Source organism: Homo sapiens, chromosome 5 (assembly GCF_000001405.40).
Source record: "Homo sapiens chromosome 5, GRCh38.p14 Primary Assembly".
NCBI classification, from domain to species: domain Eukaryota; kingdom Metazoa; phylum Chordata; class Mammalia; order Primates; family Hominidae; genus Homo; species Homo sapiens.
Window position 1 is genome coordinate 68,504,568 of NC_000005.10, and position 17,295 is coordinate 68,521,862.

The 17,295-nt window shown below is 41.7% G+C and overlaps 3 long non-coding RNA genes across 11 annotated transcripts in view; 1 reads left to right on the plus strand and 2 right to left on the minus strand.

Moving 5' to 3' along the window:
- LOC105379012 (uncharacterized) overlaps nt 1-8,183 on the plus strand; it is a 29,314-nt gene extending 21,131 nt beyond the window's left edge. Inside the window, exons 3-4 of the long non-coding RNA XR_948411.3 lie at nt 6,935-7,141; nt 8,136-8,183. This is a non-coding gene — a long non-coding RNA (uncharacterized LOC105379012). The remainder of the gene's footprint in view (nt 1-6,934; nt 7,142-8,135) is intronic.
- LOC105379013 (uncharacterized) overlaps nt 1-17,295 on the minus strand; it is a 406,546-nt gene that overhangs the window by 78,256 nt on the left and 310,995 nt on the right. The gene's annotated exons all lie outside the window — the stretch shown is intronic.
- LOC105379011 (uncharacterized) overlaps nt 3,656-17,295 on the minus strand; it is a 58,354-nt gene continuing 44,714 nt past the window's right edge. For 3 of the 7 annotated variants that reach the window (XR_001742694.1, XR_001742693.1, XR_002956214.1), the window contains one exon: nt 3,656-3,820. This is a non-coding gene — a long non-coding RNA (uncharacterized LOC105379011). Of the gene's footprint in view, nt 3,821-12,611; nt 15,708-17,295 lie in introns of those variants that run through there. The other 4 variants (XR_001742700.1, XR_007058803.1, XR_007058802.1 and 1 more) reach the window with 3 other exon arrangements.

The following is a 17,295-nucleotide window of genomic DNA, read 5'->3' on the forward strand; positions in this document are numbered from 1 at the left end:
GTGGAGCTCTCTGGAGGCCTCTCCACAGAGTCCCAGGGAGTCATTCCAAGCTAGTTATTCCTACAGCAAGTGTTTCTTAAAATGCTGTTCTCATTCCTATTCTTTAGAATAATCTGGGTGATCTTGTTAAGCCTGCACTCCATCACAGATCTGCTAAGTCAGAGTCTTTGGACATATGGCCCTGGGGTATTCCATTTCTAACCCACTCCTTAGTTGATTCTTACACACACTGACGTTTGAGAATTACTGCTATGGCCCTTTGTACCATCATTAGCTTAAATCTTGAAGTTTCATGTACATGTCTTATTATTTCCATTAGACTGAATATCTTGCAAACAGGAGCCATATATGAATAGCCATATTCTCCAAACTGGGTACAATTCCTGGAACATAGTAGATTTTTGCTAAGAGTTCTCACAACTGTAAGAGTTCCCTATATATGACCATATCCAGATGAATATGTTGGTTGAACCCAAACAACATATTCTATTTCTCTATTGCCGTATAACTACTTACCACAGAAACTGGCACAGTGTCACTTCCAATTAATTCCATTGGTCAAACAGTCATAGAGCATGTCCAGATTCAAGGCTTGGGGGACAAAGACCCCACCTCTCATTGAAGGAACATTGAATTTTTGGCCATCTTTAATCTACCACACAGTCCCTGCCAAAGTCTATTAAAAACAGACTGGGTATAATTCTTTAATCTGACTTTATGAGCATTTCAAAGAGGCAAATAAACCAATCATGTTTTGTGGCCTAGGAAATAGAGTTCAGAAGACATGAGACAAGGTATTTAAAAAGAAAGAAAGAAAAATCCAAAGATATTTCTAGTGCCTATGGCCCTTTATAGTTTAGTCCAATTAAATTGGTCACAGGCCTTTTGAACTACATTTGAGTCCCATTGTGGCCTCCAGTAGTTCCTTCCCCAGAAGGTAAATGGACATGTCAATGGTGGTGAATGAAATAATTGATACCCTTTATCAGTTTTAAGACAAGGTCAGAAATTGGAGCTGCGAAAGTTTTAGAAAGTTCTAGGAATAGGCCCAGGGTATTTAGCCCAGGAATCTTCTACTATAGGAATACTCTTAGTTTGCCTTCTTGGGGTTTGCAACTCTGGATGTCTCTTAATTGCAAATTCTTTTCTCTCTCTCTCTCTCTCTCCCCCCCACCCTACACACCCCCTTCTCCCCTCCCTTTTTTTTTTTTTTTTTTTTCTATTCTATCCACATGGCTAAATAAGACACCTGGTCTTTCCCTCACCCATCCAATTCTATGGCCGGACAAAGTACATGGCCTAGAAAATTGACATGAAGTCAACCAAGATGGTAAACTATAAGGTAGTCAAAGTAAAGAACTTTAATTGGTCAACACAGAAACTGAAATAAGTAGTCCTTGTGAAGCTAGGTTAACAAATGGCAATTCAGCTAAAAGCTCTTTTGTTGAGCTTGAGAATTCTTGACTAAGGGGTAGGAGTCATAAAGTGCTTTATGAGTCATGAGAAGGTCAAAGATCACCTTTCAACTTTTCAAACTAGCCCTGGCTACTTATGGTAGCTTTTCTTTTTTCCCTCCACACACCCTCCCCCACCCACCAGTTTCATCGTCTATGTCCACTTCACAGTGTATCTGTAATGAATTTGGATCCATTTCAAAGAATACATAGAAAATCTTCAGCTCCCAAAGCAGGCTGCTCTGTAGGAGGGAAAGAGTAAGGAAAACACCCTAGGGCAGTTCTTTATTTCCAAAAGATTAAAAATAATTAAACATTAAGATATTCAACATGGATTATTGCAGACAGTGATGAATGGCTCTTCTCCCCGTAATGATGCCCTCCTCTAAGCTAATCTTACCCAACCTCATTTCAAAGAAAATGTTGGTTAATGCTTTATTTGTTTCATTCCATGTACTCTTAAGTAAATCAGGGTTATAATTGCCCTGAATTCATAACAACTAACTGCCTCCCTCTTTGCCTTCTTGGAATAACTGAGTGTGAAAGAAAGAAGATATTTTCAGAGGCATTAGTACTTATCTGAGAATTATCTATCTACCCAAGTCAGTAAAGCAAAGGCCAGCCACTATGCCACTGTTGGAAGCCAGAGGTCAAAGCATGAGTATCTCCCAGGCAGTGTGTCTAGCACTGTCTCCACCACAAAATAGGTACTCAAGAAATATTGGCTGCCTGTAGAAGCAATTTGTTTCCTCTTTCAAAGTGGGAAAGTGAATCCTGTTCATAGGGACAAAAACTAAGATAAAGCAGAGGCAATATTTTTGCTACTGCTCCCATAAGAGTACTCAGATTTCAAAGGAGCTTGTACATTTATTCAACAAGTGTTTACTAAGCTCCTACTATGTGCTAGACTCTGGATTCCATTGTTCTAATGGCAGTGGCAGCAAATTGTAAATAAATAATTACTCCATTAGACAGGAGATAGCAGTTTTGTCTCACTTAGATAGTGCTTAGAACATTGAGGTACTCCAGAAATACTGGTTGAATGGATAACAATACTAAAACAACAACAGCTACAGATTATTCAGAGCATGACACCCCCAAAACTCATGACCTTTAGTTTTAATGCAGCAGTCCCTTGGAAGCCCAAGGCATTTTGAAGGAATGGTAGGTATTCTTGGGTCATTTACTTTCAACTGTAGAAATGTAACAAAAGCAAGAATTTTAGCCCTACGTCTTTCTTTCTCTTAAGGTGGTCATGCAGAGAACTTTTTGCACTGGGAAAGTCAGGAGGTTCATTTGAAAGATGACAATTTACCAAAACCATGTAGAGGTTTTCCTAAGTTCATGATAAATTTCATTTGAAATAAACCTTGATCTTTGATTTAATGATGAGATTGACATTAAATTGAGCAACTTTCACTGCATATTTTATGCTATTTCCCTAACTTATCAGCTTCCAATTTGAATTTCCCAGCATGAAGAAACAGGTTTTATTCCATATCCCCGCCAGTGGAGCTGCAAAAATAGGGGTTCATCCTTAATCAAATCCACTTGGTTACATCTTCCTTTATTCACTCAAGCTAGAAGTTTTCCATTTGGGTAACTGTGATTCCCCTTTCTAACTTGTAGGAATGGAAAAAGCCCTTGCAATGATGGGCTGAATGGCCACAGTGTATGTAAGTTAAAACACACACACACACACACACACACACACACACACACACACAAACAAAATTCTATCCTGTTCAGTTGCTGTCAAAAAGCAACTAAATGCAGGCTGTATGTAAGTTGGAGCTGGGCCCCTGAGCATCCTGTCCGGAAATATAACTCCCTGACCCTCTGACTAAAGTTCCTGTCCCTACATAAGCAAGAAGCTGATCCTACAACCCAAGGAACACTCTGAGGAGCAAAAGAAAGATCTACTCCAACAGCTATAGCAAAGACTCTCATGGAACTGTCTTCTTAATAACTAAGAAGCACTAGGCCAAGTGTCTGTTGAGAATATTATCAGTACTTTCATTGATCACACAAACCAGATTTCATAAAGGATCAAGCTTCTATAAAAAGTAATCTTTGTATGTCTACGCAAGTGCCTACTTTATTGGCTGCTACCAGTGCTTACCCAATTTTTGGAATTCAGTAGGTGGGTCAATAAGGGAAAATGAACACTTCTGTAACAAACAACCCCAAACTGCAATGGCTTAACATAATCAATGTTTAATTCCCACTCATGCCACTGTCTATGAAGGTTGGATGACTCTCCTGAGTAGTTCTTCTCCATCTGATGACTCAGGGATCCAGGCTCTGGATACTGTAGGAGTGTTAAACTCCTGTGTCACTATCATTCCAGCATATGAACTCCTTATCTACATGGAAGGAGAAGAAAGACCAAAGAAAATTACCTAGAGAAATTTATGTGAGGCTTGGAAGTAGCATATATCACTTTTTGTCCCCATTGGCCAGTACCCAGCAAATATCTCCAACCTAACTGCAAGGAAGGGTAGGAAATTTAGATTTCCAGTGTGCCTAGCAAGATGAAAGGAATTGGTGGGCATTTCCCTAGTCTCTGCAATCAGGTTTATGCCTTAAATAACAGTACATGGAGGCCAGGCATGGTGGCTCACACCTGTAATCCCAGCACTTTGTGAGGCCAAGGTGGGCGGATCACTTGAGGCCAGCAGTTCAAGACCAGCCTGGCCAACATGGTGAAATCCCCTCTCTACTAAAAATTTTAAAATTAGCCGGGCGGGGTGGTGCATGCCTGTAATCCCGGCTACTCGGGAGGCTGAGGCAGGAGAATCACTTGAACCTGGGAGGCAGAGGTTGCAGTGAGCCAAGATTGCCCCACTGCAATCCAGCCTGGGAGAGAGCAAGATTCTGCCTCAAACAAACAAATAAACAAACGAGTATATGGAATAGCAGAAACAGAAAGATTGTAACATGTTAAAGAAAAGATCATATTATGTAATGTTTCCTGTAGTATACTAGCAAAAGAATAAAAAATAAACAAGAGGAAGGGTAGTTTAGTGGTTAGGAGTATGCATTCAGGAATCACCCTGACTCAGTTCATATCATGGCTCTACTACTTATTAGACATGTGATGTTGGGTAAATTGTCCCATTTATTTTTGTGTCAGATTTATCTGTGAAATGGAGATAATAGAATCTACCTCATAGGAACTTATTATAAGGATTCCATAAAATAAAATCTTTGAAGCACTGGTACTCTGGAGGTAGAAAGAGAGGGCACTAAAGGGGTTTTGGAAGGACCCAGCCTCTGGGATGACATGAAATAGGAGGTGCTAGTACACACATGGCAGGGGAAGGGGGTATTAGGAAAGCATCCTCAACTTGGACCAGGAATTCCCTGGATTTCCAATAACACAGCACTGCCAAGTCAACAATGTCAACTCAACTTGTAAAATATGAAATTGCTTTCTTCAGAAGCAAGCAGAAGTGCACTCTTGTATGGATGCAGTAAAGTCTCATGCCCCTCAAGGACAGGGAGAAAATTGAATCTCAGAACTACTGAACCTAGAGACTAGAGCCCATTAGGGAACCAGAGAGTCTCTTCTTTCCTTCTCCTATCTTTGCTTCTCTCTTCACATTTGATTCATATTTTTTTTTCCTTTCTGCAACTGACCTTCTTTGCTTTGTCATGGTAGAAAATGGTCACTACCAATATTTACATCTATTTTATAAAGGAGGAAAACCAAAACAAACTGGAACTTACACAAATTCCAAGTTCCTGTGGGAGAATCTAATTGGCCCAGCTTGGTCAGGTGCCACCCTGGGTCCATTCAACTTTGGCCAGGCAGGCAGGTTTATGTCCTAGGAACATGACTTATACAGTAATCCTGCATATCAGGACGGGATGTGATATTACTCAAAAGACAGACTGGGTAGACCCTTTCTTCAGGTTTGTGATCACATGTTGTCTTCTGACATCTTTTATGTATTCCATGATTTTTTACCTTAGTTTTTTGAGTGCTTTTATATCTTTTCTCTGCAATTAGGTTATAAATAACTTAAAGAAAAGAACTATGTGCTACAATTTTTCTTTTTCTTTTTCTTTTTTTTTTTTTTTTTTTTGAGATGGAATCTTGCTCTGCAGTGGTGCGATCTCAGCTCACTGCAACCTCCACCTCCCAGGTTCAAGCAATTCTTTTTCCTCAGCCTCCCGAGTAGCTGGGACTGCAGGTGCCCGCCACCACACTCAGCTAAGTTTTGTATTTTTAGTAGAGACAGGGTTTTACCATGTTGGCCAGGATGGTCTCAATCTCTTAACCTCGTGATCTGCCCACCTCGACCTCCCAAACCACTAGAATTACAGGCATGAGCCACCGCACCCAACCGTGCTACAATTTTTCTGTTCCACCTAGTATAATGACCTATACTGGATAGAAAAAAAGTTATTGAATGAATACATGATTGATCCCAGAGGAGTGACTTGCCAACTCGACAGCTTTAAGGGTTAGTGTAATACCTATGGATGTCTAACTTCCTTAAGGAAAGTGGTGGTGTCATAAAGAGATGGGGCAGAAGATAATCTCATGATTCCCAGCTGATTTTTTTAGCCCTCCTTGCAAATGACTGTTTTGAGTCTCTAAAAACTACTAACTACTGCCACTACTAATTACTTTTGCTCATCAGTCCTTGATGTTGGCAACTTCACTGAATACTTTGACACTTACTTCTTCTTGTCATCCCTCACTCCTAAAACTGAACTTCAACTGTAAACTATAAAAAGAATATTTTTTACCTGCATGTCACCATTATGGATACATGTAGTAATAAAACTTACTGCTCACTTAGTGCATTTGTTGCTATAGCACTCAATTCCTATCTCTTCAATTCTCCTTGCTGCTAATTCATTCATTCACTCACTCATTAACTATCCGAGCATCTCCCATGCACACTGGGTATTCAGCAGTGGTTAAACCCATTGCCTCCCTCAAGGAGCTTACAATTAGGAGAAGCAAACAAGTCAGCAGGCAGTTACTGAGAAAGTTAATATCCACCTTTTCCACATTTGTGGTTCTGCAGACATCATCTGGGAAATGAAGAAATTTACAAAAAAAAAAAAAAAAATCCCTTCCTTCCATAGCGTCTAAGTAAAGAGAATCATTTGGAAGGCTACAAGTATGTCATGGTAAAAATGTGTACCTAATTTAACGAATGCAATTTTATGCATTCTCTATTTGTGGTAACCACAGTCTATATTCCTTTCCATCTGTTTTCAAGTTGAAGTGTGACCACTGCTAAAGTGAAGGCCCACTTCTTTTTTGTTCTTTCTAGTCTTTTTCCTCCATTTGATTTACTCTCATTGACCCAGAGTTCACTTCCGAAAGGGCGTATTAATGAAAGTGGGCTCCCCATAGGACTAGGGAGCGGTAAGCATGGCAAGGAGAGATAACAGCAGTCTTAGAGGTCAGCAAAAGAGGGATGTACAATTAATTCCACTCCCTTCCCTCATTACAGTGAAAAGTCTGAACACCTTGGAGAATACCACTTGTGGAGGAGAGAAGCTGGCCCTTTACCTTGGCTATTAGCACTTATTCCTATACCATCATCGAGAGAAAGATAAGTCAGTTACTAATTCTGTCTACTCCCTTCACCCCCAATAATTGACAAGAGATCTCTTTGGAAACTCAACATGATACAGCTAGATTCAGGTGAAAGACAGAGGTAGGTGTCAACCTTTTTCCTGCAAATCTATGCAAATACTCTATTGCCCCATCCCTTCTTTAAAATGTAACTGGAAGACACAACCAACCAACCAACCAACCAAAAAACAATACAACACCCTAAGTGCAAATGGAACAAAGACTCTTGGTGTTAGTTAGATGAAGGATTCCAGTGTGAGGGGTTTTCAAGCTTCTTGCTGGACTTCGAGATCTCCTAGTGCGTATAAGCACAAACTGGTTTTTGCAGTAACTTATGGATCTCAGAAGGCTGTAGAATTAGCAGGCCTTGCGTGAGAATGTTGTTCCATTATTTACTCACAGTAGTCACATAGAAGCCCACAGGAGCTGTCAAGGCCAGCATTAGACTGAGCTTGCAAGCAGAACTGTTCTTTCTTACATCTTGTTCAGAGGCCCTTTCTAAAGAAATCATCACCACATATTTAAAATATGATGGGCTTGGTCTGACTTCATTTTGGGTGGTGCAAAACTTTGTCCATTTTTTTCCAATTTGGGAAAATTATAGTACTGGCATTGCAGTTAACCCTGGGAGGCTCGCTCTTTACTCCCCTCCCACATTTATAGATTGTTCCATTCATACTTAGTTTCCTCTTCCAAAGAAGCATGGATTCATTGTTCCACCATTACACTATTCAGTTTCTGCCAGTTAAGTGGTAACAATTTTCAACTGTTTCAGTGATGGCTCTTTTCTTTTTAACTTCTAGAGCCATATACCACAATTCTGAGGTTGGTCATCATTGGATTACAGCTGGGATTTGTCTGGTCTAGACTTAGGTGTCAAATACATGGAGAAAAAAGAGCAGCAACAGCCAAGGGCATTCATGACATCTTTGTACACTTCTAAACCTCAGTAATTTAGGTTGTAACCCTGTTAGAAATAATCTGCAAGTGGTTTTCAGAAAAATATTTATTAAATTTTAAACAACTACATTTGTTAAGTTTAAGACAAGCATACATGATGTGCTTTTTTTCCCCAGAATCTATGACAAATAACAAAGGATGCCATAGATGACAAGGTAAACCTCTGTCCTATCATTAGCAAGACTGAAGTCCATATCAGTTGTGAGAAAAGAATGTAATTTGCATTTAAGTGCCATTTATAACTTGTTTCTTTCATACTTGCAGCCTAAGTTGCAGAACTTTGAAGGTTAAATGTTTAAAAGCTGCTCAAGTATTTTATAACATCTGAATTTTAGGAGAGTATGCACTTTTTTCACAGTTATGTTTAAGATATCACTTTAAAAAAAAAAGGACTTGTAAAAGGAGTTCTTCATATACCCCAGGTAAGGTAAAAGTCATTTAATGGCTGGGGACACTGAGTCAGAGGTCTCAGTGGACAATTCTCTCTGCTTTCCTTTGAGACTCTGTTTCTGGCATTGTCCTGGCCTTCCCAGCATCTCTACTATCAAGCCTGGGGACAAGCCCTACAATTCAGGAATTAGCTTTTTGGCCAGCAAACACCTAGATCTATTCCATACACCATCTGGACCTCAGTTGAACAGCATTTGGGGGGAGCTTTTGAAAATGGGAAACGAATGTTGCTTTGTCTGTTCTAAGTCAAAGAACTGAAGAGACCAGGTGCAATGTCTCATGCCTGTAACCCCAGCACTTTGGGAGGCCGGGGCGGGGAGATCACGAGGTCAGGAGATCAAGACTATCCTGGCTAACATAGTGAAATCCCATTTCCTACTAAAAATACAAAAAATTAGCTGGTTGTGGTGGCACGCATCTGTAGTCCCAGCTAGTCGGGAGGCCTAGGCAGGAGAATCGCTTGAACCCGAGAGGCGGAGGTCACAGTGAGCCGAGATCACTCCACTGCACTCCAGCCTCTGTGACAGAGCAAGACGCCATCTCAAAAAAAACAAACAAACAAAAAAAAAACCTGAAGAGGCCACCTTCAGCAAAGGCTAACAGTCTCCCTGCAGGAATGATGCACCCTAACCCCAGGGGGTATTTACACTTCAATGCTGCCTGGATCTCCTGCCCGAGGTATAGATGAGGATACAACCACATCCCAGCTCACTCTATAGGTCCCTGAATTCTCTTTTGAGTGGTTCCTCATATACTCAGTGACTGATATTAGACAGACATGAGTTCTAATTGCAACTCTACCACTTACCAGCTGTGTGACCTTATGCAGGTCACTTCTTTCTGAGCCTCTGTTCCCTCATCTGTAAATGAGGATGATAATAATGGCACTTAACTCTTGGAGTTATTGCGAGGATTATTGAGATGATACATGCAAAGTACTTTGTACAGCATCTAGCATACAATAAAAGCCCAACAACCATCAGCAGTTATTATAGTAATCAATATGCATCTGGGAAAGAGTCCATTTGCTTTGCAGGAGAAATCATTAAAGTCATAGATTCCCTCATTTTGACACAAAACACCTAGGGATGTTGTGAATGGCAAAGTATTTGTCAGGACTAAAGTTCGCTTCTTTGATTGATTCCTGATCTGAGAAACAAACACTCAGTGCACGTTGGGTTGGAATATTGCAGCTTTCTGATTCAAAGCAAAAGTCCTCAAAATCAAGGTAGCTCAGAAATCTAATAATTCTCTCCCGTGAGACCCTCATCAGTTCTTCCTCTGAAAGGGCTCTTGACTCCATTCCTTCACCTTCCTCACTGCCTTCATAGAAATGTGATGACCTCTTCCTCATCTCCTTGACTGACAGACAGCTCTACGTCCAGGCAGCTGAGATAGAAAATACTCAATGGACTCAAGATATAGTAATTTGAAAATCCACATTTAAAATTTTTCATTGCTAAGATTTTTTTTTTTTTTGGTCAAAATATTTACTGCATCTGTTATTTCAAATAACTGTAAAGGAGGAAAGAGATTTGTGTGTTTGTCAAAAGATGGGAGAGTAGGTTAAGAAAGGACTAGAAGCTCTGCCTTAGCAGGGCACACAGGGCTACTACTAAACTGCCTTGTCAGGCTCACCTGTTGAAACTCCCTCTACATAGCCCATCATCAGCCTCGCTGAATTATAAATTGCGTGGCCTAGCCCTGCTCTTTTCATCCTTTCTGTCTTTACAAGCTTAGTTGCAACTATCTCTGGAATGATCTGCCTTTAGCCCCCTATCCAATTATAAAGCCTCAATTCAAATATCATCTCACAAGAGGAATAAATTTGTAGAGAGAAGAATCTGGGTTTGAATCCTGGCTCTGCTTTTTCCTGGTTCTTTGACCTTGAGCAATAACATTCAGTTTTCTCATCTGTATGGAGTCCTAAGAGCTCAAGCTCCACGTTGCTGGGAGTAAAAATCTAAGCACTTAACATAAATCTCTGACTTGATTGCCTTCACCCTGTCCCTCTCCAAATCAGTTTAGGGGCTATTTAGTTTGTTGCTGTTGTTGTTGTTGTTGTTGTTGTTGTTGTTTCCAACAGATTCTCCCTCTGCAACTATTGTTGGGAACTTCTAAGGGAGATTGTTGAACAGACTCTAGGTCCGGACCCAGCTGGTCCACAAAGTTCACTTGGAGGCTGAGATCTTGCCCTTATTGTTACTGCTACCATTATTTCAGTCACCTGAAAGCAACTGACTTTTCATTGCCAGTTAGAGCAACTGTCTGCCAGTCAGGAGAAAATTCCACCACCATCCTTGCTGCCATCTGGTTCCTCCATGCTCAGGCCTTTGGGCAATATCATCACTGTTTCTTAACAGTTATTTTTGAAACAAAATAGAAAGCTCTCATCTTTTGGTCTGTGAAGGATTGCCTCCAAACAATGCTTATTGAGCTTCAAAGTTTTGCAGCTTTTCTTGTTCTCCAGATTGTGGTTGATTATAAATACAGAGTACACCTGTATGCAAAAACCCCACGTACTCTCTAAGCCTTACACCTTGGTCAAATTTTAACTGAGTCAACTCAGTGGGCCAGACACCTGTTCCCCTTTTGGCAGGTTTCCTCCTAAGGGCTCTCCAACTGTTCCCACCTGAGAGTTCATTGTTCCCACCTGAGTTTAAGTTCTTCTTACATCTGAGCACTTCAGGGCCTCCTCTGCAAATCAGCATATGCGAATAGTTGCTTGGGGGTTGCAGGGACGGTATTTTGTTTCCTCTCAACATCAAGCATCACCTACCATCAAGTGAGAATCTATGTAACATGTAAAACTATGGTAATAATGCGTACCTAATGAGGGTCTGGGAATGAAAAATTAGATTATATTAAGTGAGGTAACATATTCAAAGTGCCTCGTGCAGTCGCTGGTACGAATTATAGCTTATGTATTATATAGTACATATTATAGTGCATTCGCTAGTACATATTATAGTTTATTCTTGGGCAGATCCAAACAACCAGTTTCCTGAACTTCACAGTGAAAGATCTCCCTTCTCTGTGTTTTCACAGGAATTAGTAGGTTTCTCTCTCTGGCCCTGATCATATTGTGTGTAACGTATCTCTCTCTGTGTTACGGAGGCCCATGTCCTCTCATTTCTGTATTCTTACCACTCTCCCTACCATTGGCTGAGCACAGTGCCTGGTATATCACAGCCCCTTAGAAACTCTGGAGTGAATGAGTTAAGAGAAAAGGTCAAAAACAACTAAATTCCAATTTTTCTTAGAAAATAACAATGTCAGCACATCTTTAGAAGCCTGTGCGTTCTTTCCCAGCTACCTTGTAAGTGATTCCAGGTGAAGGTGTTTAATTATTTTTGAGTCTCTATTACTAAGCCCCAGCGTCCTATACAAGGTACACTCAATGGCTGTTTGTTGTTGATGATAATTAAATTAATGCTTCCTCAACTGTCTAACCCATGACACCATTCTAGGCATTATCATTAACCTAAATCCCTAAACACCTAGCTCTCAAATAAACAAACACAAATGTCTGCAGCACCTTATTGCTGACCCCACCAAATGGCAGTGCAGAATATGTGGACCTGTTGTCTGGCTTGCAGGTGAATCTCCTCTCCCACTGGTTCCCCAGGGAACTGTGTTAGCCCAGCGCCTGAAGGAGGCTTCGGTTCCCAACTTAACCCCCGATGACATGAGTGCTTTCAACATGGGAATCCAGACAGCCATATGCAACCAGTGGCTACATGAGAACTTGAGAGGCACCCAGCCAGTGCGTCCCACACCTGGATCAGCAGGATCGCCTGGGAAGTGTACTAAAACAAACTTAGACTCTCTCCCCCACCTCTTCCCCCTAGGCTTTAATTCAGTAGTCAGAACATGGGCCCAGGAGTCTGCTTTTTTTTTTTTTTTTTTTTTTTGAGATGGAGTCTTGCTCTGTTGCTCAGGCTGGAGTGCAGTAGTACGATCTCGGCTCACTGCAAACTCTGCCTCCCAGGTTCAAGCGATTCTCCTGCCTCAGCCTCCTGAGTACGGGGATTACAGGTGTGTGCCACCATGCCTGGCTAATTTTTGAATTTTTAGTAGAGACGGGGTTTTGCCATGTTGGCCAGGCTGGTTTGAAACTCCTGACCTCAAGTGACCCGCCCGCCTCAGCTTCCCAAATTGCCGGGATTACAGGCGTGAGCCACTGTACCCAGCTGAGTGTGCCTTTTCAAAAACTCCCCAGGTAGTTCTGATACAGATCAGAATCTAGTGGGTAGACTGGCCTTTGGAAACTTTGACCTGGGTCATCCATCAGGGCTCAGTTAAGACTTTTCTAAAGGGATTGGTCTATTGTGTTACAGGGGATATGGAACCAAGGAAGGGGGAAGGACACCCAAGGGAGTGGTGGGGCAGCATTCTTAGGAATGGGATCTGTTGGTGGAAGGGGGATATGATAGGCAGAGATGAGTAGGGTTGAGGGACACAGAAGATGAAGGTGAGAGCATACCCCTTACCACTGAATTCAGGAAACTCGGGAGCAATGTGAGGTATGACGTGAATAATGACGGAAAAGGTGACTGCAGAAACAAGGCTTTGAGGAGAAAGGATGGGGTGGGGGCAGGCAGGAAGTCTGAGGAAGCTACACGGCAATTCAGGAAAGGCTGCTGCGGAGGGTCAGCCCTGGGGATTTCCAGTGTGCATGGCAGGAGGGACTTCCGAGCCAGGGTAAGTGGTTCCTGCCTGAATACACGGAGATGGGGTCCTGGCTGGGTGCTTTCTTGTTTCAATAGGAAAGTTGTGACTGTCACCGGGAGACAGAATAAGTGAGGTGGCACAGGTGCAGTATTGGCCACCTTGGACACTTCACTCTGAGAGCGCAGGAATAGTTTGAGTTAATTTAAAGAAAAGCAAAATAAGAGAATGCGACTCAGAATGATCTATTAACAGGAAAGAAATTTGATGCTGATGGATGTTTGCCATGGTTTCGTTAGATGTTTTTACAGAAGTGGAGGAAAAAATACCAAAGCCAAATTGTACCTAGGCCTTTGATTCTGCACAGAGGCCTAGGGGTGAAGCCCTGAAGGTATTGGCCATGCCAGATGGGTGTTCCCCAAATGGGGCAAAAAGCAAGGACTCAGGTGTGGGCAAAAGCAGTCCCCTGACACAATGGAGTCTTCATGGGGATGGGCAAAGCTCAGCCGCAGGCTGTAGAGAAGACACAAAGGAGCTGGGAATATTTCTAGAGAGAGGAAGAAGACTCATGACATTCTACTCCAAACTCTGTGCTGGTCCACTGGACCGCGCAGCCCCTCTTTGACCTCTTGGCAGGGCATGTGGGAACCTCTGGGTGTCTGTGTGCCCTGCCCAGGCCATGAGGAATTGGGGATGCCACAGCAGGCCCTTCAGCATGAGCCCACCAATAGCCTCAGTCCCAAAATGCACTGGGTGTGGCACTGAACCGAATGGGGACTTCCCTAGAGACTTAGAGCCACCCACAGCCATGCTGCTAGAAGGAGGCCACTAACCCTGATAACCTCCAGGTTGCTTTTACCAAACTGAATGCTTCACAGCTCCCCCATCCCAAACACCCTTTGGGGTTTGGTCCTGAGGTAACACTGGTTACCTCCTCCTTTCTTTCCTTCTAACAGAACCCCGATTTTATTGAGGTATTTCCCCACTGTTTAACACAGCCCATGTACCTGGAAAAATCTGACCTTACTCCCAGCCCCAGGAGTGGCTGGGTATAAGAAAAGTCTTATTTTCCTTGTCTTTTTGTTCAGGAATGGCCATGTGACCTAATTCCAGCCAGAGACACATGAGGGGAAATCATCTGAGTAATTTTGGAGAAACTTGCCTCTCCTCCAAGAAAGATCTGCAGAAAGGCATATTCTCCCTCCTTCCTCTGCAGCATTGCCACGTCTGGTATATTTCCAGAACTTCTGTAGCCATCTTGCTACCGGCATGAGGATGAAGCCAACATTAAAAGTGGGAGAAAGGAAAGATAGTAAGAGGATGAGTCTTCTAAGATATTGCTGAGCAATTGAATCAACTAACTCTGAAGTCCACTCCACCCCTGGATTTTCAATTTACCTGAAATAATACACTTCTTTGTTGTTTAAATCAAGCCAGAGTTTCTTCTACTTGTAGCTAAAAGTGTTCTAATTGTTAAAATTCCCAACAGGAAGGCAAAGCATCTGAACAGATCTTTTTCATTCATTTCCCCAAACCCTCAAAGAATAGAAGAGTGGTTTCCACTTGCTATTTCAGTCTCTTAGGGGTTCCTCCTATCATACCCTCCTCCCTCCTGAATTGGAGTTTGTTCCTCTTTGTATCTCCAGTACGTGCACCATGGTTAGGCCTTCTGTTTAGTTGATGTAAATCCGAAAGGAAGAAGTTGTTTGATGCTGCGTAATACAGGAAAGGGAAGCAGAGGGAAGGAAAGATTGTGGATGACAACTCTACACAATCAAAGATGAGAATTGTGCACAACTCAAGATGCTGAATGTGAGGGAGAGCCATGGCACACATTCCACAGTGAAAATCCAAGGCACCTTTCAAACCTAATGTCTCAAAATCCAAGGCACCTTTCAAACCTAATGTCCCAGTGTTTTTTGGGATTCTTCCTATGAAGCTATGCTGTCCTATACGGTAGCCACCAGCAATTAGCCACTTGTCCCAGCCACTAGCCATAGATGGCTATTTACATTTGAAATTAAAATTAAATAAAACTTAAAATTTAGTTCTGCAGTCACACTAGCCATACTTCAATTCTCAGGAGCCACAGGTAGCTACCATATTGGACAGGATAGATAAAGAACATTTCTATTGCTGCATGAAGTTTATTGGGCAGCACTGTTACAGAGGCACCTCTTTATTCAAAGAGAAATGATAACTAGAGAACCAATCCCAGGCTTAGGAATCATAAGAGATGAATGTATAGTGGCAAGGACACAATTTCATAGTGAGTCCTGGGTTTGAGTCCTGGCTTTTCCACTTATGTAAATTCTACGAACCTTAGTTTCTTTATAAAGTGAGGAAAATAAATTGTATTTATTTTGGAGGAGTATTCTGAGGACTACAGTGATATATATGAAATACTTAAGGAAGATTCTTATCACATTGTAGATGCTCAATGGCATTAAGTGCTATCCCTGGTTTCCTGCCTTGGGGATGAGTTATGCAAAATTTTGCTTTGTCCATACAATCTTCCATACCTATGATAGTCTACGTGTGGTTCAGACTTGTAACTTCAGCATCACCTGGGAATTAGAAAAGCAGGATCTCAGACTCCACCCCAAAGCTATTAAAGCAGAATTTACATTTTAACAAGACCCCAGGTGATTTGTATGCACATTACAGGTTGAGGAGCACTTATTTATTCAACATGATGATCAAAAATTCAAAATAAGTAAACTATGTGACCTACCAAAAATGATTTTGATAGTGGACTATGGAATTCTAACCATATCTGAGATGCCTCAGTTTGAAGACAGTGGCTGAGCCTGGCAATGATGGGACCTGGGTCAAGAAGGAGCACCAGGACGGAGACCTCTTCCGTCATTCCAGCAAGATAACTCCACAAGAAGCAGAAGCTCTCGCCTCCCTGGATGGGGGAATCTGGTGCATCCCCAAATCCTCCCAGGAGGTAAGCCATTGCTGCATAGCAAATTACCCCCAAAAGTTAATGACTTAAACAATAATAAGTTCCTTTAGTAAGAAATCCAGACAGGGCACTGGACCTGAGTCCTCAGCTGGAGGACTTGCAGGTTGAGGGCTGGAATTATCTGAAGACTCATTTAATCGCATGTGTGGCCATTGATGCTTGCTGTCATTTGGGGGCCTACTTAAGACTGCCAGCTGGAACACCCACCCATGGCCTCCCCTTGTGGCCTAGCCTTCCTCAGATCATGGTGATTGGGCTCCAAGGACAAGCGTTGAGAGAGGGAGAAAGAAAGAGAGAGAGAAAAGGGGAGAGAGGGAGAATGGAGAGAGATAAGAAAGGGAGAGATAAAAGGAGGGAGGATTAGAGAGAGAGAGCCATATTGCATTCCATGACCTAGCTTTGGCAGTCATGCAGAATCATTTCTTCCATCTTCCATTGGCCAAGATAGTTACAAAGTTTTGCTTAGGTTGAGAAGAAGGAAACATAGACCCAACCTCTCAATAAAGGTAGGTCAACGTCACATTGTAAGAACATTATGTGGAAAGAGATATTTTTGTGATGGCCATATAATTGTGGCCACCTTTCAAATCTACCATACAAATATTCTTTTGAGTTCGAGTTATTCCAGATCCGAAGTTGCTACTCCCACCACCATCACTATTAACAACTTCTTATTTAGTGTCTTCCACATGCAGGGCATCATATTCTGATTCATATTTATATTACAGCAAGACTGCAGGGAATTCATCTTCCTTTGGTGTACCACGTTCTTGGGAATTCTTACAATTTTTTTCCAGGAAAAATAGCTTCAAAGCTAGTTTCACTTTTCATTCTATCTTGTTCTTTTGCATTATTTCATTACAGTCAAACTCTTTGACTGTGACATCAAAGGACTTTGAGAATAAGTGAATAGGTAAAGATAATGGCTCATTCACTGGTACTAAGTCCCCAGATGGGTTTTTGGTTGCTCAACAGCTTGAGATTCATTGCTAATGGCAAATAAAATAATTACAACAAAATGTGTCCATGCATTACAATTTCTGATTTCTACTTTTGGTAGATATCTAACTACCTTACATTTTCAGACTAAAACATTCCTCTGTGCATTTTCATCTTTATAGTAAAACTTTCTTGGCAAGATTGATCTCAATCTGTTTGGTGGTTCTTATATTAGAGCAGAATCA